Below are 27,665 nucleotides of genomic sequence, written 5' to 3'. Positions count from 1 at the left end.
CAGTGCATCAAAAAGCTTATTCACCATGATCAAGTGGGCTTCATCCCTGGGATGCAAGTCTGGTTCAACATACACAAATCAATAAGCATAATCCAGCATATTAACAGAACCAATGACAAAAACCACATGATTATCTCAATACACACAGAAAAGGCCTTCGACAAAATTCAACAACGCTTCATGCTAGAAACTCTCAATAAATTAGGTATTGATGAGACATATCTCAAAATAATAAGAGCTATCTATCACAAACCCACAGCCAATATCATACTGAATGGGCAAAAACTGGAAGCATTCCCTTTGAAAACTGGCACAAGACAGGGATGCCCTCTCTCACCACTCCTATTCAACATAGTGTTAGAAGTTCTGGCCAGGGCAATCAGGCAGGAGAAGGAAATAAAGGGTATTCAATTAGGAAAAGAGGAAGTCAAACTGTCCCTGTTTGCAGATGACGTGATTGTATATCTAGAAAATCCCACTGTCTCAGCCCCAAATCTCCTTAAGCTGATAAGCAACTTCAGCAAAGTCTCAGGATACAAAATCAGTGTGCAAACATCACAAGCATTCTTATACACCAATAACAGACAAACAGAGAGCCAAATCATGAGTGAACTCCCATTCACAATTGCTTCAAAGAGAATAAAATACCTAGGAATCCAACTTACAAGGGATGTGAAGGACCTCTTCAAGGAGAACTACAAACCACACTGCTCAACGAAATAAAAGAGAATACAAACAAATGGAAGAACATTCCATGCTCGTGAGTAGGAAGAATCAATATCGTGAAAATGGCCATACTGACCAAGGTAATTTATAGATTCAATGCCATCCCCATCAAGTTACCAATGACTTTCTTCACAGAATTGAAAAAAACTACTTTAAAGCTCATATGGAACCAAAAAAGAGCCCGCATCGCCAAGTCAATCCTAAGCCAAAAGAACAAAGCTGGAGGCATCACGCTACCTGACTTCAAACTATACTACAAGGCTACAGTAACCAGAACAGCATGGTACTGCTACCAAAACAGAGATATAGATCAATGGAACAGAACAGAGCCCTCAGAAATAATGCCACATATCTACAACTATCTGATGTTTGACCAAACTGACAAAAACAAGAAATGGGGAAAGGATTCCCTATTTAATAAATGGTGCTGGAAAAACTGGCTAGCCATATGTAGAAAGCTGAAACTGGATCCCTTCCTTACACCTTATACAAAAATTAATTCAACATGGATTATAGACTTAAATCTTAGACCTAAAACCATAAAAACCCTAGAAAAAACCTAGGCAATACCATTCAGGACATAGGCATGGGCAAGGACTTCATGTCTAAAACACCAAAAGCAATGGCAACAAAAGCCAAAACTGACAAACAGGATCTAATTAAACTAAAGAGCTTCTGCACAGCAAAAGAAACTACCATCAGAGTGAACAGGCAACCTACAGAATGGGAGAAAATGTTTGCAATCTACCCATCTGACAAAGGGCTAATATCCAGAATCTACAATGAACTCAAACAAATTTACAAGAAAAAAAAAAACAACCCCATCAACAAGTGGGCAAAGGATATGAACAGACACTTCTCAAAAGAAGACATTTATGCAGCCAACAGACACATGAAAAAATGCTCATCATCACTGGCCATCAGAGAAATGCAAATCAAAACCACAATGAGATATCATCTCACACCCATTAGAATGGCGATCATTAAAAAGTCAGGAAACAACAGATGCTGGAGAGGATGTGGAGAAACAGCAACACTTTTACACTGTTGGTGGGACTGTAAACTAGTTCAACCATGGTGGAAGACAGTGTGGCTATTCCTCAGGGATCTAGAACTAGAAATACCATATGACCCAGCCATCCCATTACTGGGTATATACCCAAAGGATTATAAATCATGCTGCTATAAAGACACATGCACATGTATGTTTATTGTGGCACTATGCACAATAGCAAAGACTTGGAACCTATCCTAAATGTCCAACAATGATAGACTGGATTAAGAAAATGTGGCACATATACACCATGGAATGCTATGCAGCCATAAAAAATGATGAGTTCATGTCCTTTGTAGGGACATGGATGAAGCTGGAAACCATCATTCTCAGCAAATTATCGCAAGGACAAAAAACCAAACAGCACATGTTCTTACTCATAGGTGGGAATTGAACAATGAGAACACACGGACACAGGAAGGGGAACATCACACACCGGGGCCTGTTGTGGGGTGGGGGGAGGGGGAGGGATAGCATTAGGATATATACCAAATGTTAAACGACGAGTTAATGGGTGCAGCACACCAACATGGCACATGTATACATATGTAACAAACCTGCACGTTGTGCACATATACCCTAAAACTTAATGTATAATTAAAAAAAAAAAAAAAAAGAATCTCAAAGTGCTGAAGCTCCTCGTCCAGCACAAAAGAAGAATGTCATGGGTGTTCATGACAACACTGTTTATAAATATAATAAAAGCAAATAATTATTCAGTGTATATTTAAAAAAAAGAAATTTCTTCCTTCCTTCCTCCTTTCCTTTCCTTTTTCTTTTCTTTTCTTCTTTCCTTTCCTTCCTACATTTCTTCATTCCTTTATTTATTTATTTGAGATAGGGTCTAACTCTGTCAGCCAGGCTGGAGTGCAGCAGGATGATCGTATCTTACTGCAACCTCAAATTCCTTGACTCAAGTGATCCTCCCGCATCAGCTTCCCAAGTAGCTGGGACTACAGATGTGGGACTACAGCTGTGCCACCATGCTCAGCTAATTTCTTTTCTGTGTGTGTGTGTGTGTGTGTGTGTGTGTGTGTGTGTGTGTGTGTGTGTATAGACGGGGTCTCACTATTTTGCCCAGACTGGTCTTAAACTCCTAGCTTCAAGTGATCCTCCTGTGTCAGACTCCCCAAGTTCTGGGATTATAGTCATGAACTAGTATGTCGACCTGAACTCACAATATTTATTACTGCTAATGTTAACATAGGTTTAATTATTTTATTGTCCTAATTTACACATACGAAATTTCTACCATTTGCTTTATAAGCTTCCTTGACTATTCCTTAATTTTGACATGAGCATCTTTCTATATCAAAATTTTATCATCACAACTTACTGTCCCCACAGATGTTACCTGATTCTTTTCTGATTAAATTTTCTATTACGTGTAAATACGTGGAAATTTTAACAGATTACTAAAATCTTTGAGCAATAATCAGTTAAATTCTAAAGTTTTCTGATAAAAAAGCAATAACAATATAAATGGAAGGCAGCCTTTTTTGTGATAACCTCAGCCAATATAAATACGTTATATGCATATAGACATACGGGTTATTTTCATTATTTGGTTCCACATTATTTAGGACCAAAATATGATTCTGGCAATTAGCTGTGAAAATACAGAGTAACAAAAGACAGGTGAGTTAGTTTAAACATTAATAAAATTCTAAGAGCTTATTTTTAAACTAAATCTCTAATAAAAGCTCATTTCTTACTCATTTGCCCCTTTTTATTAAAAAAATATACTGTTGGACAAAATATACTACCATTTGTGGTTCCAGATGAGGTGGATTTTGGTAAAATCATGTTTTTATTGTACCCTTAAAACTAAATGTATCTGTTACTAATATGCTCAAAGTTACATACGTATTCAGATTTAGAAGATAAAGAAATCCTCAAATAATAGTGCCCCTGAACAAGCTATTTCCTCTCTGAGCATCTCTTTCCTTATCTGCAAAATGACAATAATATTTACCTTACCATGAGAATGAAATAATATTACCTAACTGAGTTGTGAAACAACACAAGTTATTTGGGAGAAGGAAGCAGGCACTAGGAAAGAAGTTAACTGAGGGAAGTACTAATTTGAGTGAATTTGTAAAATCTGAATCAGAAGCATATGAAATATGTTTCCCTCATACCATAGCTAATGAAAAAGCAGCATTCTGATTTTGACAGACCTTTAAAATCTCAAGGCTGGCATAACAATCGCTCAAGGTTCAATGTATATCTTTTATATAGGAAGGTGAATAATAATAATCTGAAGTACTAATATCCTTGTCTTCACAGATAACCCTCGGCAGCCAAATACACGATCTTCAGTGGTTTGCTATTAACAGGAAGACCATATCACCTATCATCCAAGTCCTGAAGCCTTTGGAGGATAAAAGGAAATATTTGGGGGACATATGCAGGTCTTGAAGGAGGTACTATAACATGAAGATAGCAGGGCTTAATTGGCACTGTCCCAGAGGAAGCAGAGTCTGATCACATTTTTATCACCATTATAGAAAAACGGGATACTGCAATTAGCAGTGAGGTCTTCTATCAAGTACTATCTACCCAATCCTCCCTAGCACCTTATTTCCCAATCTTCTACTTCTCCCACCTTACCAATTAATTAAGCAAGCTCAGTTATCTCCAAACCCATCTCACAGTTTTCCCTAACACAAGGACTCTACTATAGAAAACATATGCCTGCCATTTTCCAAACTAATTGTGCTCATTATTCACCCTACATCTTCATACGAGCAATTCATCTCTTGAAAATTCTGGTATATTCTATAAATGTTGCTGGTGTGGTTCAATAAACTATGATAGCAATAACAGATCTATAAGTCAAGTCACATGATGTCAAATTCAAAGAAAGCAGTAAGTTTTAAAACATCACAGTATGCACAGTATGCACAGAATAAGCTATTGGACCTTCCCCCTGCCCTCTATGTCTTAATGTTCATTGTTTTAATCCTCACACTGTATGCCTCTTAATCATGCTTATAGATTGCAAGTAGCAAAAAGTGACTCTGAAGAAAATACGTGTGAAAAAAATAGTAAATGCAAAAACAAAGAGAGGAAAAAAATTATTAAAGGCTGTTAAAAACAACCATGAAACCAAGCACAGATTGAAATAAACTAAGCTGCTAACTTCTTAGTTGTCATAAGAATTGATTTTACACAATTTTGAATAAAACTCACATCCTGGACATATGAACAACTCCATTTACTTTATTAACTAACTTTACTTACAAATTTGAATGGTCCTCAAGAAGAAAGTACAAGTTCAGAGTAAAGAGATTTCCTACCCAGACCAAACAAACAAAAAGCCAAAGAAACTATATTAAAATTTAAGATGTTATTTGTCCCTCATTCCTTAAATAAGTATATTTCTGATAAATCACTCTAGAAGTCTCTAGAGTACCAAAGCCAATATGGAGATCTATTATAAGCAAAGAAACATTTGATAAAAAATGTGGCACTCTAGAACACCCAATATATAAGCAATAAATGGATAGCAAGATGTCCTATTATACCAGATAAATGCTTTCAATATCTACAGAATAAGAAAAGTCCCTGCAACATCTCTACATAAAATGAATTACTGACTTAAAAAAACAATTTGTCAAGTTTCTTAATTGGCTAATAAGTTCTAAACACATGTAATCAAAACAAATACCCTAATATTTTGTCGTTCAAAAGAAAACTACAATACTTCAAGTAGTCTATTCAGTTAAGTCCTATCTATAAATAAAGATTACATTTACCATAAAATAAAACTGTAATTAAAATTAAATAATTACACATTGAACAAAAATAACATGGATTCCATGTCAGGATGACATTTTGAACATGGACACCTAATTTCACTCCCTACTAAATTCCAACTAAAACGATAACAATAAAAGGAATTTTTTTTAATGACCTACACTCTAGGAGTGATGCGCTTTGGAAAGGGAGGTGTCCACCGGTGGCTTGGTGATAAAGGAAAACTGGAAACAAGGTGCTGAAGTTCAGGGATCTACAAAAACAAGATCATAAATGATGCCTGTAGTCTCAGCTACTTGAGAGTCTGAGGCAGGAGAATCACTTGACTCCAGGAGTTAGAAGGCTGCAGTAAGCTAAGATTGGAGTGAGCCACTGTACTCCAGCCTGCATGACAGAGCAAGACCCTATTTCTAATAAAATAAAAGAAAGAAACTCCACCTCACGATGCTAAACAATACAGTGTCATTCAAGAAGGGTTAAAGCCATACGAAATCTTCAGTCCATCCACAGTATTGTCTATTACTGCTGATCCAAGAAAATTATCAAGAACGACATAAAAAGAGAATCCAACATCCATACAAAGCAACTATAAGCAACAGAAATAATCAAAATTTTTCAAAAAATGTAAATATATCTCACTAAAAACCATGAAATAGAGAAGACTGTAACATAACACTTGAAAATGAATCAAATATAAAGAAACAAGCAAAAAAAAAAAATTCCAGGAAAAAAATGGACAAATAACAGGGAGATATGAAATGACTATTATCTGATTTTGGGAAAAAAAACCAATTTATTTAAATTAAAAATAAAATAAGTAAATAAATTAAAATAAAATAAGTCATCTCAGAAATGAATATTAAATTATAAGGTGCTCATATAATAAGAGACATAGATGTTAATGATGAAAAGGGCCAAAAGAAAGAAAACAAAAGTAGTAGAAAATTTCAGAAAAAAGTTATAGAAAGAAGAGGCACACAATGAACATCCAACTAGTTGAGGTTCCAAAAGAAAACACAAGGTAACAGATTATTACAATCATAATGCAAGAACAGTCCTGTAACTAAAGCCATCCACATGTAGAAAGGGTCCACCATGGGGAAATAAACTACCCATAATTAACCCTGAGATATATCCTGATTAAGTTACTGCTCATTAAAAATAAAGGAAAAAGAATATTCTGATTAAGTCACTAACAAAGAAAGACAAGTTGATATCAGTCTTCTCAACTGCATGATACACAGCAAAACAATGGCTTTAATTTTTTTTGAGAAGTTCAAGAGGGAAAAAAGTGTGTTGGCCATGTTACATCCCATTGGCCATGTACTCCAGCCAAGCTATCCTTCAAGAATCAAAGCTACGGGAAAAAAAAAATGTAATAAAAGTAGTAATTTATGTTAGACTTATATGTAAGTCAAGACCATGCAACAAATTCTAGGTAAGTCACTGAAGGTGTAATTAAAATAATATAAACTAGTCACCTAATAGAGAAGAAAATGAAATAAAATTAGTCCAAAGAAGGTAAGAAAGCAGAAAAAACGAAAAAATGGATTGGACAAATAGAAAACAAAGAATAAGATGGTAGAATTAAATCCAAATATATCAGTAATTAATAAATATAAATGGACTAAATAATACAATTGAAAGATTGTCCAACTGAAGGCAACAATCTACAAGCAGCTTTCAAAATGAACATCTTAAGTATTAAACTAAAGAAGTGTTCAAAGTAAAGGCAGAGAAAAAAAGATCATGCATGCACTAACAAAAAGAAACATGGTGAAACCATACCAATGTCAGATAAAGTAGACTTCAAAATAAAGACTACTATTGGAGACAGTTCATGATGACAAGGGTAATCCCAAACGTGTGTATTAATCTAACAATCCTGAATTTATAAATATGTAATAAAAGAGCCTCAAAATATGTAAAGCAGAAGTTGACAAAACTTAAAGGCAGAATCTTGATTGTGGATTTGTAACGTAAATTTAGAAAGTAAAGACACAGAAGATTTGAACACATGGTTAAATTTACCTATTAACTATACCTCAAAATTTCTTAATACTCATTCTTATCAAATGTACCTATAATATTTTCTAAAATAAAGTATATGGCGGGCCACGAAGGTAGCCTCAACACATTTCAAAGTTAGAAAGCATTCAGATTATGTTTTCTAACTATAGTGCAATTAAGGAAGAAAATAATAAACAGAAGACAACTAGAAGAATCCCTAAATGTTTGGAAATTAAGTAATATATGTTTATATATCCCATGGGAAAGAAGAAATCACAATGAGAATCTTTAAAATATGTGAATCAAATGAAAGCTAAAATATGACACATCAAAAATTTGTAGAATATAGCTAAAGCACAGCTCAGAGGAAAATTTATAGGGCCATAAGTGTACATATAAGAAAAGAATAAAAGCTAAAAATAAATGATCTAAGCATCCATCTCAAAGAGAAAAAGAGCAGAAGAGTAAACTCAAAAGGTTAAAGGAAAGAAATAAAGAGAAAAGAAGCAAAAAATAATGAAACAAAAGATCAAGAAAGACCAAAGTTGATTCTTTGAAAGATTAATAAGGTTGATAAACTCTTCATGGAAATGATTTTTTTAAAAGAGAAATCACAAATAAAATAATCAGTATTAGAGTTAAATCACCTTTTGCTCATATGGGTTAAAAGCTATGAAAATAATCTTTCTACCATAAACAACCAGAAAAGCAGATAAAATGTATGAAACAACTGATTCAGATACTATGCAATAGGCAGCCTAGGATTATGATTCCCAAAAAAGGAAATAAAGGAACCTTAGGTGTGCCTCAGTTTACTGCCTTTAGAAACTTTCCAGATGATAGAGCAGGAAGAGGGAATGTAAACAAAAGCCTGGTGGATGTGTTGAGCTAAGGAGACAGAGACAGACCTTCAGGTAGATCAAGGTGGCTAGGATTTGCAAAGCACTGTATCAAAGAGAAGGAAGTTGGATGGAAAGAGGAATACAGAAATCTGAAGTAGGATCCCCTTGATGTTCTGATGAGTTCTAATCTACAAATCAGAGGTGAAAAATAGAGGTTCTAATCTATAAATGTAAGGTGAAATTCCATGGAACCAGGGAAATATATACTGGAAAACAGAAAAATTCCTAAATATCACACAGGGGGAGAAAGAGTTCCCACTAGCCAGAGTGGAGACACCTCACACCAAAGGCATTGCATAGAGTCAAGTATTAGCACTGGAACAAAATTAGCCAGAAAAAATGTATCCTAGACCCATCCTAACAAAGCCTAAAAATAAGCCTTGATATTGGTAAAGTATAGCTACGTGATGAGGTTATCTCACGGCTGCATGAGAGTTTATTATACTATTCTCTACTTCAATTAATGCTTAAATTTTTCCATTCAAAGGTTAAAAAAATTATTTGAACCTTCATTTATATATCTGTTATTTGAAACTCACCATAAAAATCATAGTGGCCAGTTTTTCAGTCTAATCCATATAAGCCTACACGAAATTACCTGAAACCTTATACAAATATATCCACCAGCAACAACACTATTTTTGGGGGGAAAATATAAACATTCTGAATTTTAACTAAGACAAGTTAAGCAAACAAATATTTTTCATCTTTTATTATTTACTGACCCTCATCTGTCTTAGAGAAATCTGTTCAGATCAGCATAGGTGTCAAATGCTCTAAACTGTAAAACCAGGATCGACTGTCCTTACCAGAGGCAGAGGCTCAAGCCTCTACTTGCTGCAGATCAAGTGTTTGTAAAGAGGGGTTGCTTGTATATTCCTAATATGTAATTCTAGTTATATTGCTCAATTGAATAATATATCTTATCAAAATGCCAGAAACATTTATTTGGACCTATAACTCATATCAAGTTTTACTATTGAGCTATGAGAATGCAAAGCTAGTAAATAAAAATCAAAACCAATCTCCCCTTTACTATAATAGTTAATGCTCTAAAATATGTATAATAATATGCTTGTTTAGTATATGTCTCATTTAGCAATGTGATAGGGCATAACACTTTCCCCTATTATTACCAAGGATCTTCTATGTGCTAAGAAGCATGCAAGCTATATTCATGTACTTTATCTCACTCAATTCTCCAGTTTCAAACAAATAGCTGTTGTAATCATCTCCTTTGGTGTTTTGGATATTTTTCTCCTGTTGGGGGACAGCTGTTTTGTTTTGTTTTTACTTTGAGAAAACTGGATTCTTAAAAGTTCAGAGGTCGCAGAGCCAATGAGTGATAAAACTGAAATCTAATCTCAGGTTTGTCCACATCCTTTCAACTACGACATACTGCCAATGAGATCTGATGGCCGTATCATTTTCAAATAAAATCTATAAAACAGAAAATAAAGATTTACACAGACTCATTTCTAAAATATTATCAAAAGATTTAACCCTATCTTGTTACAAGTAGATCCATTTAACTAAATATTTTGGAATTCTCATCATATCAACCTTACAAATTCCCAATCATCATCTCTGGTCTCCCCATTTTTAAGAAAAGATATTAAAGGTAGAATTGGGAAGAAGGGGAAAAAAAGCAAAAGAGAAATGCAGAAAGTCAGTGCCTCCCCTCTAAAAAAGCATATAACCCACCCACTATGCCAAAGGTTAAGTCATTTAGTCAAGTTCAAAGATCTTCAAAGACTTCTTAGATCCAGATAAGCCCATATGTTACCAAAATTCTGTGAAAAAGCTATTACTTTCCAATCTGTTTCTCATGTTTAAGATACAGAACACACAGATGCTTGGCATCACTCATCAGTCTTCCTAAATTTTCACACCAGATAATCAAGGTCCACCAATAACTTTCCTATCTAAAAATCCTAGAAATGTCTTTATTCCATCAGTGCCTGGTTCCCTTGTTAAATCTGAAAGTAACCATAAAAGACCATTCAGTTACTGTACAATAAGTGTTAATTTGCTAATTTCTTCACAGGTAATCAATTAAAATGTAAAATATTGGATAAAAGTAGTTGCACTAAATTTAACAGCTGCTCCATAAGCATAATTAGTTTCACAAGGGCCATATGTATTCTGAACAGAGACAGAGTTGAAACAAATAGACAGATTTTAAACAAGTTTGAGAAAATCTGCATTTAATTAGCAGGTGGGCACTACAACTGCATAACATTTTTATACATTTATATTTATGAAGTGACAGAAGATCTAAAGGCTTTTTAAAACGGCGTTTATTGTTTGAATGGGAACTGTTTTGCTGCATGCTAAAGTGATTTAAGTCCTTATAGCTCTGCTTTGAAAAAAATCATAAATGGTGAAAGAAAACATGTGGAAAACTGTAAAACTAGAAAGAATTCTCGACAAAAAACAGATACACATACCATAACTAAAAGGAACTACACTTAATTAAATGTACACTACATCTGGAATATCAGCCTAATAAAATGTGAAACTATTAATTTTCATTGTTCTAAAGGAAATGAGGTCAGTGTCATTTAATAATTCCTCCAATTACATTGGGCTAACTCACTGGATTGTATGTTCTGGACACCATCTAATCTTAAAATGCTATATACTTTACATTATCCTTAAGTTAAACTTTTAAATAAAGGCATTTAAATTACAAAGGGGTAAAAGAATAAAATCAGCAAATGAAATTTTTTTAGCAGCTGGTAGCTACTAATATTATATTTAAAACTTTATGGCTTTGGATGAGGTTTTTCATGGACACTCATAAGTCTGAGTACACATTTGTTAGTTCTTATTAACACTGAAATCATTACTTTAAATATAGGAGTAGAATGAATAATTTTTAAAAGCAAAATGATGTTTACAGCACCAATAATTTCATTAGTTGGCTATATTTATTATTATTAGTTTTTAAATGCGTAAAAAACAATAGGACTTTTTGAGGGCAAAATGCTTTAAGGACTCTAAGTAAAAGAGCAATAATATTTTTTGTAAAAGAAAATGACAATTTTCCAAAATAAAACTGGATAATGAAGCAAATTCCTGCATCGCCCATCTCTGCAGTGGAGAGTTAGAGAGAAGTCCTTATCAAGTAAGTAAACCAGTATCTTAAAAGTTAACTGTTTTCTCACCTAGCCAAATAAATAGTGTGAAGCCTCCCACTTAGGTATCAAAGACACTGCATTTCAAAATTTCCTTAAATAGTAAAATCCATATGCACAAATTTAAATTATTAAACATTAATTTTGATTCTGGTAGCTTATTTTTGGAATTTAAAAAGTATCAACATGTTTTCTAATGTGCAAAATCTAAATCTGTACATGAACATTTTTAAGTATTTATGGAATCCACGCATCAAAAAAAAGATTTAAAACAACAAATATGATTGTAAAATCAAACTCCGAAAACTATGTGCTTTGTAATCAACATTAATAAATACTTCACATTAAAAAATAAAACAAAAATATAGACCACTCTCCCTCAAAATAATTAAAAGTTTTTCATATAAAATTTGCCTTTACAGTTTATTCATATGAAATAGAAACTTATTGGGACAAAATATTAATATCTCTTAATTATAGCAAATTTTATTATTCTAAAGCTAAAAGAAAAACTTAAGATACTTGACAGCTTTATTTACTAAGAAGTATCCTTAAACATTATAAAGCTCCAGGGAACTTGCTGAATGATTTCATACAACTATGTAAAACATAACTTAAATGGACAGACCTAATAGTTTACCAGTTAAGATTGCTATCCACTTGCCTTTAAATAAGACTTCCAACTCTCTTGTTTTATACTTTTCTTCCGAATCTGTGAACAAGTTCTAAATTGTTTATGTCATTATTTTAATTGCCAAAAAAGGCTTTAATGGTAATGAAAGAATTTGAAAAAGCAAGATGCCTCAGGCATGAAACATCTCAATGGTCACCATATTTTATAAATGAGAAACAGAACTCAGGTACACCCTGTATTATTGTGTATTGTACTGCACTGTGTTATATGCTCAGGGACAAGAGGAAAGAAAACTTGAAATCGAAGCATATGTTAGTATATTTCTTGATTTGGTGTGAGTGCTTTAAAAATAATTCTAGGTTTTGTTTTTTTTTTTTCATAAACCATATAATAGGAAGCAGAAGAGATTTTAAAGAGACAGAGTCTATGTCTTTAAGGTTTTGTTCCATGAGGCAAGAAGAAACAAAGGCAACCTAGTAATGAATAAGAGCATCTTAGTTAACTGAAAAATCAAAAATTATACTTTTTCTTAGTTTTCTCCATGGATCTTTATCCTGCATGTTTCCAGCATGATTTAATAAACATATTCCTAAATTCAAGTTCAAGATTCAGTATAAATAATTGATTTTATACTATTGGAAACAACACAAAGAAGAAAGTAAACTTAAAAGCGAAACCCCACCCCAGTAGCACCTAGCATGTATGGATTTTTATCAACAATAAGACCAAACAGCAATCTTTTTTATCTTTTTAGAGATGGTATCACTTTGACACCCAATCTGAAATGCAGTGCCATGATCACTGCAGCTTCAAACTACAGGGCTCAAGCAATCCTCCCCCATCAGCCCCCCGAGTAGCTAGGACTACAGGTGCATGCCACCATGCCCAACTAATTTTTTTATTTTTGGAGAGATGGGGTCTCACTATGCTGCCTATGTTAGTCTTGAACTCCTGGTCTCAAGCATTTCTCCTTCCTCAGCCTCCCAAAGTGCTGGGATTACAGGCATGAGCCACCGAACCCAGCTGAAAAGGAATCTTTAGGCTCATATTCAAACTTACAAATTATTGTTTTACTTTTTATTTTTATAACTCCTTTTTTTAGTGGTCCTTTCTAAAAAATGGTTTCAATATATAATCATGTCTATTTCCACCTGATATTTTACTTTTTAAGCAAAAAATCTTAACTAAATCAATTTTACAATGAATAACCTATAAATTCACTAGAAGATCAATCTACACAAACAATACAAAGGCATTTCTTTTTTTAAACAATCACTCATTTCCATTTTTACTACTGACTAAAGGAAAAAGAGGTTATTTTAAAAAAACTTTAAAGTGTCATTTTAGTTGAACTTAGCATTGAAAAAATAATTAAATTAAAATTCAATCTATTATCTTAAAAATAATAAAAACCATTTTATTTTATTGAAAAGTATTTTAAAATCCTCAAACTATCACCTGGAGTTTTCCTTATGGATAATTTAAATAGAAGGTAAGTTTATTTTCTTACCTTTATCTGGACCAATAACATTAATAACTTATTTATCTTTATCTGCATTACTTACAGATTTGTGTAAAGAATTAGAAAGGGGAAGGGAAATATTGGAAGGAGTGACAATTGGCAAATTCATACAGAAGGAAAATACAGAATAAAATTTAAAATTATCTATTGGAAAAAATAAAATAAAATTAGACCTTAGAAATTATCAAATCAGAATAGTTTGGGGCCAGATAGTGCTTTACAGCATTACTATACAGCTCAGTACCATATCATAATTATATTCATAAAGGTCCCAAGTAATTAGCAAAAACAATACAACTGGAATTAAACTTCCTTTTAAAAAAACTGCTACACATGAGAAATAAAAGTTGGAATCTACCCTTGAGAGAAGAATAGTATTTAAAACGTATCAGAACAAAGGAATACTAATTATTTTATTTGAACCATTCTTTCCTTCTTTCCGTAAACACAGAGCACTCAGTCTGGGCAAAAAAGGCTTAAAAGAAAAAAGATTTCAACACAAACTCTCAAAGTATTTTCCAGTAACATTTGGCCTACAGCATTAACTCTGAGAGTTTAAGGAAACCTAAGGCTGCAATAAGTACTATGTTTGGGCCTGAGTAAGACAAAGAGCCCAGAACACCAAGAACTAAAAAAATTCCTAAGACGTAGGATATCTTGAAATCCTTGAAAGTTCTACCAGTCCAGTGAATTACGAAGGGATTTAAAGTAAAATTTATAATCTGGGGCCCACTCATAAGCCAATTAGGGAGTTTCTCTATCACCTAAGAAAAAGTATTTGTAAAATCAGCTTGTTCATTAAATGTCACTTACATGTTTCACATTATGAATTTAATAAATGATTTGTAATTAACTTGAAAAATTTAGAAGACAGAAACACATCAGACATCTTCCTGACGTTTGGCCTTTGCATGGGCTCTTCCTATCATCTTAACACACTTCCCCAGACATCTAAGATTCCCTCACCTCCTTCATATCTTTGCTAAATGTCTTCTTTTCATTATGAACTTAATGAACTGTTCTATCCTGTTAAACACTGAAACCTGCCCTCTCTCCCAACCTCCCGAACTCCCAATGCTCCATAACTTGTTCTATATTTCTTTTTCCCATTGTACTAGACCCAACATACTATAAAATTTATTTATTATATTTGTTGTTCATTGACTATCCTCCTTGTTAGAATGTAAGCTCTGCAAGGGCAGTTTCTTTTACTAATAATATTCCAGGTGCCTAGAATAGTGCCTTCACAAAAAAATGCACTCAAATATTTGTTAAGAATGAATAAACAAACAAATTCATGTACTACTTTCTCAATTTGTGTCCTGTCTTCTAAAATCTACATAATTATTTAATATTTTTCTTAATAAACTCACTTAAATATTTATCTGATTTGTTTTACATGTACCTAAATTATCCCAATATTAGAAACTAATGTCATTTTCTCCTCTTCCCAACAAAATAGAATACCTACAACTAACAGATAAGTTACAATAACACTATAAGGTATTTTTGTTAAAATTTACATTGCTTTGTATTTCTCAAACTATGATGATAACATCTAAGAAATCTCATAAAGGAAATTTGTATAAAATGAACTATTTTTATCACTAATTTTCCAACAAAAAGCATACACATATTCTGAATTTTATGCAAAGGGAATGAGAAAGTAATCTAGTCCACAAAGGGTCATAATTTGAAGGATTTTCTTAACTCTGGGATAAATGCCATCACACCCTCCCAAATACAGACACTTTCCCAGGTGACAGATATTTCTCTTATGTGTCCAGAACTCCACATCTAAGCCAAGTCTATATTATGAACATCCAAAAAGGATCCTTAGCATGCCACATTTGCCTAATTCATTCTGTTCCCTTGTCCTCAGAGCCCTAATTAACATCTAGTTGCTAGCACAGTTCAAGAAAAGGATTTCATAAATTTTCAGGAACAGAAATAGTTTTGCTGATCATCTAGTTCAATGATTCTCATCCCTAGCCATGTATCAGTTACCTGGGGAGCTTTTAAAAACGTACATAGGGCCAGGGGCGGTGGCTCACGCCTGTAATCCCAGCACTTTGGGAGGCCAAGGTGGGCGGATCACAAGGTCAGTAGTTTGAGATCAGCCTGGCCAACACAGTGAAACTCCGTCTCTACTAAAAATACAAAAAATTAGCCGGGCGTGGTGGTGGGCGCCTGAAATCCCAGCTACTCGGGAGACTAAAGCAGGAGAATTGCTTGAACCTGGGAGGCGGAGGTTGCAGTAAGCCGAGATTGCGCCATTGCACTCCAGCCCGGGTGACAGCGCGAGACTCCATCTCAAAAAAAAAAAAAAAAAAGCATATAATCCCTTCAAATTATGACTCTTTGTGGACTCTTTAAGCACAGTGGCTCACACCTGTAATCCCAGCACTTTGGGAGGCCGAGGCAGGCGAATCACTTGAGTCCAGGAGTTGAGAGACCAGCCTGGACGACATGGCGAAACCCCACCTCTTTTGAAAAATGCAAAAATTAGCTGGACGTGGTCTAGAGGCACATCTGTAGCCCCAGCTACTCGGGAGAGTGAGGCTGGAGGATCACCTGAGCCTGGGGAGAAAGAGGCTACAGTGAGCCATGATTGTGACTCTTAGCCTGGGTGACAGAATGAGACCGTGCCTCAAAGAAACAAAAAATTACACACACACAGACACATAAACACACACACACACACACACACACACACACGGCAAAAAAAAAAAAAAAAAAAAAAAGAACCTCGACCTAAACCTCATACTTTATACGATAATTAAATAAAAATGAATCACACACTTCAAGATAAAATAAAAAACCATAAAAGTTCTAGAAAGAAAACATATGAGAAACAATTCTTGGATTTGACACCAAAAGCATAGATCTGATACCATAAAAGGAAGAACTGATAAAACTAGACTTCACCAAAATTTAAAACTTTTGCTCTGTAAGACTCTGTGAAGAGGATGAAAAGACAAGCTAAAGACTAGGAGAAAATATGTTTTAAGTAAAGAACTCTCAAAACTCAATAGTAAAAAACAACAACAACAAAAAAACTATTCAATTAGAAAAAAAGGACAAAACAAGTTAACATATTTCACCAAAGAGGATATACAGATAGCAAATAAGTACATGAAAAGTTGTTCAGCATCATTAACCATTAGAGAAATGCAAATTAAAATTACAATGAGATATCATTATTCAACTATCAGATCAGATAACATTAAAACAGCAATGTCAAATATTGGTGGACACAGAGAAACTGGATAGCTCATATAGTGCTACTGGGAATTTAAAACAATACAGCAAATCTGGAAAATAGTTTGGCACTTTATTACAAAATGAAACATGTAACTACTATGACTTAGCAAGAGTACACTTGGGTATTTATTCCAGAGAAATGAAAATAATATGTTCACACAAAAACCTATACATGCATTATCATAGTAACTTTTCTTATAACAGCCAAAACTGAAAAAAAACTTTCAATGGATAATAGTTAAACAAACTGAGGTACAACCATACCGTGAGATACTACTTAGCAATAAGAAGAACAAGTTACTGATATACACAACAACATAGATAAATCTCCAGGGGGTTATGGTGAGTGAAAAAAGCCAATCTCAAAGGTTACATACTATACAATTCCATTTAAAAAACGTTCTTAAATGACAAAAATTATGAAAAAGAACAGATTACTGGTTGCCTAATCTTTTCTTTCAAAGGGGGTCTAAAAGCAAAAGAAAAGTGAGTTTGCCAAAAGAGGGCACTATGAGGGATTCCTGGGGTAATACTCTCTATCTTAGCTGTATCAATGTCTACATTCTGGTTGTGATACCATACTACAGTTTTGCAAAATATTATCATCAGGGAAACAGGACAAAGAGTGTATAGGATCTCTCCGTATTATTTCATCTACCTGCATGTGAATCCACAACTATCTCAAAATAAAGTTAAAAATATCCAAATACATTATTCTCAAGGTACTAGCCAATTCAACTAGACAAGATAAAACAATAAGATGCATAAGAAATGGAAATAAAACAATTTTTATTTGCAGATAGTACACTTAGAAAATCCCAGAGGGGGAAAAATTGATAACATTGACCCAAACCATAAAAGAATTCAGCAAGCTTAGCAAAATATAAAATTAATATATAAAAATCAATAGCATCTATCTGCACAAATAACCAGTAAGTAAATATAACAAATGACAAAATCCCATTTGCAACGACAATTTAAAAATAAAACATTTAGGAATAAACAAAAAAAAGGTCAAAACCTAATTTTATAGAAATACTGTAAAACATCCCTGAAACAAACAGAAGCAAACTGGAACAAACAGAAAGACACTCCTTCTCATTGGCTAGCCGTTCTCAACTTCATCAAGGTACCAGGTTTCAATTCACAAATTTAATGTAATCCCCAAAAAATTCCAATGATCATGTCTACAGAGCTAGAAAAGTTCAACTTAGAATTCATATAGAAAAATAAACATCCAAGAATAGCCAGAAAAACAGTGGAAAGCAAAGAATTCTCAAGAGCAAAAATTAATGATTAGAAAATTAACAAGAGAAAATAAACAGTTTTTTGGTCAATAAGCCCAAAAGTTGGTATATCGAAAAGAATTTAAAAATTGATAAATCCCTGATGAGATTAATCAGGAAAAATAGGAGACTAAAATAGCTTTAACTGGGGCCAGGAGCAGTGGCTCATGCCTGTAATCCCAGCACTCTGGGAGGCTGAAGATGGCAGATCACTTGAGGCCAGAGATTGAGACCAGTCTGGCCAACATGGTGAAACCCCATCTGTACCAAAAAATACAAAAATTTGCTGGGCGTGGTGGCATGCACCTGTAGTCCCAGCTACTCGGGAGGTGGAGGTGGGACAATAGCTTGAACCTGGGAGGTGCAAGTTGCAGTGAGCTGAGATCATGAGATCATGATATCCTGCCACAGCACTCCAGTCTGGGCAACAGAGTGAGAGCTTGTCTTAAAACAAAAAACAAACAAACAAAAAAACAAAACAACAACAGGAATGAAAACAGAAGATTCAAATAATTATTAAAAGACAACAGTCTACAGATAACAAAAAGAAGGTGCTAAAAACAATATCCTGCTAATAAATTTGAAAAAGTGAATTGACAAACTCCTATCGGACACACATAAAAATAGAAAATTTTGTGTCAATTCTCTCCATACTAATCTGTAGAGTCAATGAAATCCCAACGAAATCACATTTTTTGCTTTTAGAAACAGTCAAGATGATTCTAAAAAGTATATTGATATTAAATATTGATATAAAGTTATATTGCAAATGGCCAATGTTTGCCAACATATTTGTTTTTAAACTTTAAGTTCTAGGGTACATGTGCAGAGTGCAGGTTTGTTACACAGGCATACATGTGCCATGTTGGTTTTCTGCACCCATCAACTCGTCATTTACATTACGTATTTCTCCTAATGCTATCCCTCTCCCAGCCCCCCACACTCTGACAGGCCCTGGTGTGTGATGTTCCCCCGCCCCCGTGTCCAAGTGTTCTCATTGTTCAATTCCAACTATGAGTGAGAATATACGGTGTTTGGTTTTCTGTCCTTGTGATAGTTTGCTAAGAATGATGGTTTCCAGCTTCATCCATGTCCCTGCAAAGGACATGAACTCACCATTTTTTACGGCTGCATAGTATTCAATGGTGTATATGTGCCACATTTTCTTAATCCAGTCTATCACTGATGGGCATTTGGGTTGGTTCCAAGTCTTTGCTATTGTGAATAGTGCCAGAATAAACATATGTGTGCATGTGTTTTTATAGCAGCATGATTTATAATCCTTTGGGTATATATGCAGAAATGGGATTGCTGGGTCAAATGGTATTTCTAGTTCTAGATCCTCGATGAATCACCACACCGTCTTCCACAATGGTTGAACTAATTTGCACTCCCACCAACAATGTAAAAGTGTTCCTATTTCTCCACATCCTCTCCAGCATTTGTTGTTTCCTGACTTTTTAATGATGGACATTCTAACTGGTGTGAGATGGCATCTCATTGTGGTTTTGCTTTGTATTTCTCTGATGACCAGTAATGATGAGCATTTTTTCATGTGTCTGTTGGCTGCATAAATGTCTTCTTTTGAGAAGTGTCTGTTCATATCATTTGCCCACTTTTGGATGGGGTTGTTTTTTTCTTGTAAATTTGTTTAAGTTCTTTGTAGATTCTGGATATTAGCCCTTTGTCAGATGGGTAGATTGCAAAAATTTTCTCCCATTCTGTAGGTTGCCTGTTCACTCTAATGGTAGTTTCTTTTGCCGTGCAGAAGCTCTTGAGTTTAATTAGATCCCGTTTGTCAATTTTGGTTTTGTTGCCATTGCGTTTGGTGTTTTAGTCATGAAGTCTTTGCCCATGCCTATATCCTGAATGGTATTGCCTAGGTTTTCTTCTAGGGTTTTTATGGTTTTAGGTCTAAGATTTAAGTCTTTAATCCATCTTGAATTAATTTTTGTATAAGGTGTAAGGAAGGGATCCAGTTTCAGCTTTCTACATATGGCTAGCCAGTTTTCCCAGCACCATTTATTAAATAGGGAATCCTTTCCCCTTGTATTTGTCAGGCTTGTCAACGATCAGATGGTTGTAGATGTGTGGTGTTATTTCTGAGGCCTCTGTTCTGTTCCATTGATCTATATCTCTGTTTTGGTACCAGTACCATGCTTTTTGGTTACTGTAGCCTTGTAGTATAGTTTGAAGTCAGGTAGCGTGATGCCTCCAGCTTTATTCTTTTTGCTTATGATAGTCTTGGCAATGTGGATTCTTCTGTAGTTCCATATGGACTTTAAAGTAGTTTTTTCCAATTCTGTGAAGAAAATCATTGGTAACTTGATGGGGATGGCACTGAATCTATAAATTACCTTGGGCAGTATGGCCATTTTCACGATATTGATTCCTCCTATCCATTAGCATGGAATGTTCTTCCATTTATTTGTGTCCTCTTTTATTTCATTGAGCAGTGGTTTGTAGTTCTCCTTGAAGAGGTCCTTCACATCCCTTGTAAGTTGGATTCCTAGGTATTTTATTCTCTTTGTAGCAATAGTGAATGGACGTTCACTCATGATTTGGCTCTCTGTTTGTCTGTTATCGGTGTAGAGAAGAGCTTAAATGACCTGATCAAGCTCAGAACCATGGCACGAGAACCTCATGATGCATGCACAAGCTTCAATAGCTGATTCAATAAAGTGGAAGAAAGGGTATCAGTGAAGGGTATCAGTGACTGAAGATCAAATTAATGAAATAAGGCGAGAAGACAAGTTTAGAGAAAAAAGAGTGAAAAGAAATGAACAAAGCCTCCAAAAAAATATGGCACTATGTAAAAAGACCAAATCTACGTTTGATTGGTTTGCCAACATATTCTTACAAAAAAGAACTGGATAGAAGAATTTCCCTTATATGAGACTTAATTTAAGCAACACTAATTAAGTAGGGCAACGTGGAATTGGTGTAAGGATAAACACATCAATGAAAGACAATAGAGAATCCATATGAACCAACCATATATGGGCACTTGATTTAGGACAATGATAGCCCTAGAGAACAGTGAAAAAAAGGAAGGTCTTTTCAATAAGTAGTAATGGGTCAACTGGATGAACATCAAAAAAAAATCATACCATACACACCACACATGAAAATAAATACCAGATTTAAGTATTAAAGATACAATGATAGAGTTTCTAAGAGATTTTCTTCAAGATCTTGGAAGAGACTGCAATTGATTTTAACAAACACAAAAAGTACTAACCACAAAGGAAAGGCTGCTACATTAAAATTAAGAAGTCTTATGCATTAAATGACACCATCATTAGAGTAAAAAGGTAAGCCACAGAATGGAAGAAGATATTTGAAATAATATCAACAAAGGGTTTATAACCAGAATATATGAAAAAAAACCCTTAAAAACTGCCACAAATCATTAAGTAACCAATTGCCTAATATAAAAATAGATGAGACTAAACAAGCATTTCATAAAAGAGATTATCCACATGGCCAACTAAAACATGAAAATGTGCTCAACTTCATTAATCACCAGGGGAATAAAATTAAAACCCAAAGGGATAGTACTATATGCCCACCAGAATAGCTAAAGCCTAATTAATTGACAATAGCAAATGTTGGCAGGGATGTAGAGCACAGAGAACTCTCATATACCAATGGTAGGGATTTAAATGAGTATAAACAAGTTGGACATACACATATTCTATAATCTAGCAATTTCATTCCAAAGTATATACACAAAAGAAATGAATGCACAGGCAAAGGAGACATGTAGCAAAAAGGTTTTAGTACCATTCTTTGTAATACCAAAATGGATACAATCTAGATATCCATTGTTAAAAGATAAATTGTGGCATGTTTATATTATGGAATATTGTACAATGATGAATGAGAGCTACATGAAACAACATTAATAAATCTCATGAAGAAAGTTGAGCAAAATAAGCCAGACATAAAGGATTACACACTAATGTAATGAGTGCATTTATGTAAAGTTCAAAAACGCCAAAACTTCTAAATGGATTTAGAAGTCAGTATAATGTTATCTTTGGTGAACTGGGAAATAATAATGATTGTGAGGGGTATGAGCAGGGGTTCAAGGGTATTCTTAACATTCTAATTCTTGACCTCAGTAGTATTTACACAACAGTGTTAATTCTATAATACAGTAATTCATTGAGCTGAACATTTATCACTTCTACATTTTTATCCATTATTGGTTACTTGAATAAAAAGTTTTAAATAAACAAATAAACTTCATTTAGCTTACTTATTGGTTTGGGATTTGTCTCTCTAGAAAACTTTCCTAGGTATTAGACTCCATTTAATTTTGAAAGCTCAACTCATTAAAAAAATAAATCAACCATTCATTAAGCACACTTATCAAATGCCAAGCATTAAGGCAGGGCTTCGAGTGGCTACAACCCCAACGTTGAGAGAAAATATATTATCTTGAATCTTTTTTTAAAAATAACTTTGTTGAGATATATTTTACATACCATAAAATTCATCCATTTTATATGTAAAACTCAATGACTTTTTAGTAAATTTACCAAGTTGTACGACCACAATAAATCAACTTGCGAGCATTTTCTTCACCCAGAGAAAATCTCTCATATTCATATACTATTAATTCCACCCCCCACCCCAACCCTAGGCAATCACTAATCTATTTTGTCTTTATAGACTGTTTTTTCCTGAATATTTTATATAAATAGAATGGTACAGTATGTGATTTCTTGAACTTGGCTTCTTTCACTTCTCATAATTTTTCAAGTCCATTCATGTCATAGCATTCATCAGTGGTTGGTTCCTTTTAATGTTGAATAATATTACATGGTAGAGATATACCACATTTTGTTTATTCGTTCATCAGTTGATGAGCATTTGTTTCCACCTTTAGGCTATTATAAATAATGCTGCTGAGAACATTCATGTGCAAGTCTTTGTGTGGATAAATGTTTTCATACATTTCTCTTGGGTAGATGGCTAAGAGTGGAATTGCTAGTTCATACAGTAAATTTTTGTTTGACTTTCTTGGTCAATTCTTAATGTATATTTAGTGATATATACATACATAAATATGTAAAATCTGAGTAGAAAGCAAAAAATTGGGGAAGGTTTTATAGACAATAGAAGACTTGAAGTTAACATAACAGTAAGATTTAGATCTTAATAACAACGAACTGTGCTTTTATTAAAAATAAATATATTTCAAATTAGTGTTAAATGCAAAGCATGCACCTACTGACTTAGTTAAAAATATCAGATTCTATAGAGTTACGAAAAGTCAATAGACACTGAAAAATTGAGTTATGAGCAAATGGTCTGCCTGCTCCAGCCCCACCAATAGATGATTGTTTTATAAATATATAAATAATCCAGTCTATGTTTAAATGCATATAAAGTATATTTATATAATTATAAACAAGGTTAAACTCGTCTTATATTCTCTATAAAGCCTATGATTTATATTTGATATGTGTATATGTAAATAATCACAGATATAAATCAGTGGGCAAAAATTTAATTATACAAATCAGTAACTATCATAGATAAATTAGATAGATACATATCGACTGTAAAAACTGAAACAAGGTTATCTTTTAAAAAACCACATATCCTAAGTCAACATCAAGTTTCTTACAAAGGGGATAAAAAAGAAGTCTAGTTTCTATGCTAAGCAAATGATTAGCACAAATTCAGATGAAAAGTTTTCACAACCAATTACTTATGCAACATTTATTTCATTACTAAATTAGGCAGAGCCTAAACTTATTTAAATTGTTTTAACCTCACAGAGTTAAAACAATTAACAATGAATTTTTAAATAAAGACTACTAGCCGCTTCTAATATTAAAAAATAGATTAAGTAAACATCCTAAAAGATGATGACATGTGAATAGCCATGTTTAATTTTAGGAAATTTTCAAAGGGCCAAAAATGGGTTCACATTCCCTGGTGAAAATGTGAAGAAACACACGCTAGCTAACCTTTTTAACCTAGAAGGGTCAACTAAATCAATTGTCAGGATAACTGCATAAGTTTGGAGGAGAGATGTGCTACTAACATATTTCTTCCTTTTAATGTTTCAACACAGTATGTTAAAGTTGTTCTTTAAAAAAGTATCTTCATAATTGCACAAAAATGAAACACTGTTTTCCTTATTCCTAACTGTTCCCAGTTATGCACAAGAGGAAGTATATTAATGCATATCTGAGTAGCAAAGCAGAATACATAAATGCCAAAAAGATAAATATTTCATTTAATGGTAAAATTGTGAACAGTTAAAATAATTCTCCTTTACGTTTTTTAGCAGTTTGATTATAATATGTCTGGGCATGGTTTCCTTTCAGTTTATCCTGTTTGGGATTCACTGAGTTTCTTAAATCTAAAAATGTATAACTTTATCAAATTTAGAAAATTTTTAGCCATTACTTCTTCAAATGTTTTCTACAAAATTCTCTCTCTTTTCTTGTTCTGAAACTCTAATTACACACATATAAGAAGATATTTTATTATTGTCTCACATGTTACCGAGTTTTCCTTCACTGTTTTTAAATTCTTTTTTTCATTGTTCTTCAGATTGAATTATTTCATTTATGTATGGTTTTTGTTGTTGTTGTTGTTGTTGTTGTTGAAGCGACACAGCCTTGCTCTGTTACCCAGGCTGGAGTGCAGTGGGATGATCATGGTTTGCTCATGCCTTGACCTTCCAGGATTCATGTCATCCTCCCACCTCAGCCTCTTGGGTAGCTAGGACTACAGGCATGCACAATGACGCCTGGCTGAATTTTTTTATTTTTGGTAGATACAGGATCTGTCTATTTGGTTCAGCCTTGTCTTGAACTGCTGGCCTCAAGCAATCCTCCTGCCTGAGCCTCCCAAAGTGCTAGGATTACAGATGTGAGCCACCACACCAGGCCATTTATCTATCTTCAGGTTTACTCCTTCCTTTGTCATCTCCAGTGTGATACTGAGCCCATTCTTTGTATTTTTGTTTAGATATTGTATTTTTCAGTGCCAAAATTTCTACTTGGTTCTTTTTTACAGGTTATATTTCTCTACTAAAAAGTTCTATCTTTCTATTCATTTCAGAAGGGCTTACCTTTACTCTGGAGGACACACTTGTAATAGCTACTTTAAAGTCATCATCTAATAGTTCCAATATCCAGTTCATCTTGGAGTTGCCATCTGTTGATTGTCTTTTCCCTTAAATATTAGTCACATTTTCCTGCTTATTTGTATGCTAAGTACCTTTGGATTATATAGTGGACCTTTTGTTTATCATGTTGTAAGACTGTGTATACTAGCAAAATGCTCTGTAGAATGTTGATTTTGTTGTTTATTTTAGCAAGCAATCAGTCCAGTTTGGTTTAGATCAAAAGTTCTACCTCACATTCTGTGGGTTGTAGTTCCAATGTCAGTTCAGTTTCCAAAGCTTTTGTTATGCTCCTTTGAATCTCTCCACTCACATGCAGTGTAAGGGTGAGTCCAGGTCTTGTGCCAGTCATACACAGAATAAGAGGATCTCTTTCTCTGGTTCTCTCTTTTCTGGGGTTACTCCTAAATTCTGGCTCCCAGGAGCAACTTTTCCCAGATCACTGGCAAAAAAGGATGGTTTTTTCTTGGAGTCTGAGCTACCTGTGCTGCCATCATGCAGTTCCACATGACTGGGGTGGTTCTTGGGGCAAAGCAGAGAAAGAAAAGAGAGAGGAAAAATGAATAAGAGCTCTACATTCCATATTTGGGGCTGCCTTCAAAGGAGGGCTGGGGAGAAAAGATGGGAAAAATGAAGAAAAAATTTAAAAAAACAATAATTGCCCCTAAACACTCTGGCTTACAGGATCTCCTTTCCCCATAGTCTAGTTAGAAATATGAGGGTTTTCTCTGAGGGTCTTTGCTTCCCTTGCCCACTGTGCAATTCTACAACTGGGACTACTCTGAGTCAAATCCAGGACAGCAAAGAGGAAATAAAAATGAGCAACTCAGTGCATATGAGACACTTCTTTAAGTTTTGAGTATCCTCCCCAGTCTACTTGCTATTGTTTCCAAACTGTAAAGTAGTTGCTGCTAGTATTCGGTCCAGCATTTTTAGTTGTAATTAGTGGGGAAAATGGGCTGAGTGGATTTATTCGATCTTTTCAAGCACCAAAAGTCTAAAGGACTTCACAGGTATGCTTTCTTGTTTAAACCCTCACATTATTCCAGAAACATATATACTATACAATAAAAATGGTAAAAGGGAGAACAAGGAAGAGCAAAAGCAAACAGAAAAAAAAAAAAGGCAGACCAGAAAGAGGTTAACATATAAAAGAAGACATAAGGCCCTTATATTTGCTAGAATTAAACAAAAAATCTGGCTTCAAGTTTTGCAACAGCTGCCTCAAAAGAAGCAAGGTCATAATGTTCATAGAATAAAAATAAGCCAGGTGAACAAATTAGGTACAACTAAGCCTAATCTTGAGATTTTATTTTATTATTAAACTCTCCAATAAATTTCACAGGGTAATTTCCAATAATTTCCCTAAATGCCAAGAGACAATTCCATAAAATCAATTCTAAAGAAGATCAATATAGTAAGCCCAGATATAAGACTTGGGCTTAAATAAGGGGTTGATTTTAAACTAAAAAAGAAATACGTATACTATATATCCTTAAGCATTACAGCATAAATATTCTTCTTGGCAAAGTTTTGAAAGGTTCTACATAATAGTAAGATTATATTCTCTGACAAGTACCTGGTGAGCAACTATTTTATGTAGCCACTGTAGTACAGAGACATATATCGTAACAGTCAACCCAGAGAGGGTTAGAAGTACCCTCTTATAGAAACTGAGGATCTTAATAAAAAAGACCACAGTCTGAACAGAATGAGTAACCTATCCCATTCATTAGGTGAGCCAAGAGAAGCAGATGGGGTTAGGGCCAAGATTTCTTTCAGAATGCAATTCTGAATCTTCTCACAGAGAAAAACAGGCAATCAAAACAAAAAATAAGGCAGCAATAATTGTACTCTAGGAGAAGTTTAAAGAGAATATAATCTGTCAACTGAAGAATGAGGTTCATAAATTTGGAAAGTAGAAAGAGCTTTATTTCTCATAAAGGGTTTGCAGCATTCCAACAGGCTAGGAGATATAGCTTCTGGCCAGAAGCCAGAAGCAAACACTTCCAGGGTGGGAAGAATAAGATAGGGATTTATGCTGAATGAGGTGGCCAAATACACATAATCAGTAAACTATAGCAGGAGTCATTAATATTTGTGAAAGGAGAAACATGCATATGCACAATTCAGTTTCATGCCCATCCCTGGGACTCATGCTCAAAAACGGAAGGGTTAGCATAATCCTTTGAGTTTTCATCCCTCTGAT

The 27,665-nt window shown here is 34.1% G+C and overlaps 1 protein-coding gene across 6 annotated transcripts in view, besides 1 other annotated feature; it reads right to left on the bottom strand.

Moving 5' to 3' along the window:
- RSRC1 (arginine and serine rich coiled-coil 1) overlaps positions 1–27,665 on the bottom strand; it is a 435,642-nt gene that overhangs the window by 348,843 nt on the left and 59,134 nt on the right. The gene's annotated exons all lie outside the window — the stretch shown is intronic.
- Positions 10,035–11,367: an enhancer, noted in NCBI's record as "VISTA enhancer hs741". NCBI's record gives its function as "enhancer in: limb[12/12]" and the evidence as "EXISTENCE:transgenic organism evidence [ECO:0001131][PMID:17130149]".

This window comes from Homo sapiens, chromosome 3 (assembly GCF_000001405.40).
Source record: "Homo sapiens chromosome 3, GRCh38.p14 Primary Assembly".
Lineage (NCBI taxonomy): Eukaryota > Metazoa > Chordata > Mammalia > Primates > Hominidae > Homo > Homo sapiens.
Note: the sequence above shows the minus strand (reverse complement) of the source record. Positions and strands in the feature narration are given on the sequence as shown.